This window comes from Homo sapiens, chromosome 5 (assembly GCF_000001405.40).
Source record: "Homo sapiens chromosome 5, GRCh38.p14 Primary Assembly".
In the NCBI taxonomy this organism is placed as follows: Eukaryota; Metazoa; Chordata; class Mammalia; order Primates; family Hominidae; genus Homo; species Homo sapiens.
The window spans coordinates 40,863,587-40,866,102 of record NC_000005.10 but is presented as its reverse complement, the minus strand read 5'-3'; the positions used below and the strand labels follow the sequence as shown (position 1 = coordinate 40,866,102).

The window sequence follows — 2,516 nt, the reverse complement described above, 5'->3', positions numbered from 1 at the left end:
TGCAGTGGCCGATCACGGCTCACTGCAACCTCCACCTCCCAGGTTCAAGCAATTCTTCCACCTCAGCCTACTGAGTAGCTGGGATTACAGGCATGCACCACCACGCCCAGCTAATTTTTGTATTTTTAGTAGAGACGGCATTTCACACGTTGACCAGGCTGGTCTTGAACTCCTGACCTCAGGTGATCCGCCTGCCTCAGCTTCCCAAAGCGCTGGGATTACAGGTGTGAGCCACTGCACCTGGCCAGTATCTCAATATCTTGATCTATTCTCCACTCTCTTTGCCTTGACCGTCCCTGAGAAATTCATCTAGTCCATGAGGCCTAAAGACATGGCAGTATCAAATCAAGCCCCAAGCCAAAAATTATACTGCATGTTACCCTCGTAAAGTGATTCTCTCAACACTGAAAGAATGATATTATATTCCCCAGTGACACTGGGCAAGAAGAAGGAAGGATTGAGGCTTAAGAAAAAAAAAATCAAGTCCTAGCCATGGAGCAAGGAGAAAGAAGCACATGTTGAAAAAATATAAGGAGGTCACTTACATTTAATCAGGTACAAAATTTGCAGACAAAATTAAAAGTGCTAGATACAGAAACTTATAGGTAGAACAGCCCTAATCTTAAAGGGCTATAGATTTTTACCTCATTATCATCTCATTTCTATCAGGGGAACCCACCCCCAATATTTCAACATAGGTTCTTTCTATTTTCCCTAAGTGTCGGCCGGTCTGAGAAATAAAGAGAAAGAGTACAAAGAGAGGAATTTTACAGCTGGGCCTCCAGGGGTGACATCACATATCGGTAGGTCCGTGATGCCTACCTGAGCCACAAAACCAGCAGGTATTTATTAAGGACTTCAAAAGGGGAGGGGGTGTACGAACAGGGAGTAGGTCAGAAAGATCACATGCTTCAAAGGGCAAAAACAAAGATCACATGCTTCTGAGGCCAATAAAGATCACAAGGCAAAGGGCAAAGCAAAGATCACAAGGCAAAGGGCAAAATCAAAAACTCCTGATAAGAGTCTATGTTCAGCTGTGCATGTATTGTCTTGATAAACATCTTAAACAATAGAAAACAGGGTTTGAGAGCAGAGAACTGGTCTGACATCAAATTTACCAGGGAGCGGTTTTTTTCCCCACCCTAATAAGCCTGAGGGTACTGCAGGAGACCAGGGCGTATTTCAGTCCTTATCTCAACTGCATAAGACAGACACTCCCAGAGCGGCCGTTTATAGACGTCCCCCCAGGAATGCAATTCTTTTCCTAGGGTCTTAACATTAATATTCCTTGCTAGGAAATGAATTTAGTGATATCTCCCATACTTGCACGTCCGTGTATAGGCTCTCTGCAAGAAGGAAAATATGGCTCTTTTTGCCCGACTCCGCAGGCAGTCAGACCTTATGGTTGTCTTCCCTTGTTCCCTAAAAATCGCTGTTATTCTGTTCTTTTTCAAGGTGCACTGATTTCATATTGTTCAAACACACGTTTTACAATCAATTTTTACAGTTAACACAATCATCACAGTGATCCTGAGGTGACGTACATCCTCAGCTTATGAAGATAACAGGATTAAGAGATTAAAGTAAGACACATGTAAGAAATTATAAGAGTATTATTAGGGAAGTGATAAATGTCCATGAAACCTTCACAATTTATGTTCCTCTGCCACGGCTCCAGCTGGTCCCTCTGTTTGGGGTCCCTGACTTCCTGCAACATATTTCACCAGCTTTTGTGCCCAATTTTCCAGGAGGAGATGAATAATGAGTTTAATAAGAGTAACGAAAAAGACTACCCCAGCCAGGATTCTTGGTCTAAATGGAAATATCTTTCTCTGAGCACCTGAAAACAGGCTTTTCACCCAGGCTATATCTGGTTTTTTCACGGAGAACCCCTGCTATCTGCCTCAGCAGGGGTTCCTGTTAAGAAGCAGATTTCTCAGGTTAAGCACAGTGGCTCACTCCTGTAATCCCACCACTTTGGGAGGCCAAGGCAGGATTGCTTGAGTCCAAAAGTTTGAGACCAGCCTGGGCAACACAGTGAGACCCTGTATCCACACAAAAAAATGAAAATTTTAAAAATTAAATTTAAAAAAAAAGGCAGATTTCTCAGGCCCAGCCCAGACCTAGTGAACCAGAATCTAAGGGTGAAGCTCTGAATATGCAATTTTAACATCTACCCTAGATGATTTTTACACACATTCAAATGTTAAAACCACTGCTTTAGATTTTTTTTTTTTTTTTCTGAGACAGAGTCTGGCTCTATCACCCAGGCTGGAGTGCAGCGGCCCAATCTCAGCCACACTGCAAGCTCCACCTCCCAGGTTCAAGCAATTCTCCTGCCTCAGCCTCCCAAGTAGCTGAGATTACAGGTGCGTGCCACCACAGCCAGCTGATTTTTGTGTTTTTAGTAGAGATGAGATTTCACCATGTTGCCCAAGCTGGTATCGAACTCCTGACCTCAGGTAATCTGCCTGCCTTGGCCTCCCAAAGTGCTGGGATTACAGGCGTGAGTCACC

The 2,516-nt window shown here is 43.8% G+C and overlaps 2 annotated features.

Moving 5' to 3' along the window:
* Positions 850 to 1,050: a silencer, noted in NCBI's record as "peak5237 fragment used in MPRA reporter construct". NCBI's record gives its function as "represses an SCP1 promoter by STARR-seq MPRAs in K562 erythroleukemia cells {active_cell/tissue: K562}" and the evidence as "EXISTENCE:reporter gene assay evidence [ECO:0000049][PMID:32103011]".
* Positions 1,210 to 1,410: a silencer, noted in NCBI's record as "peak5236 fragment used in MPRA reporter construct". NCBI's record gives its function as "represses an SCP1 promoter by STARR-seq MPRAs in K562 erythroleukemia cells {active_cell/tissue: K562}" and the evidence as "EXISTENCE:reporter gene assay evidence [ECO:0000049][PMID:32103011]".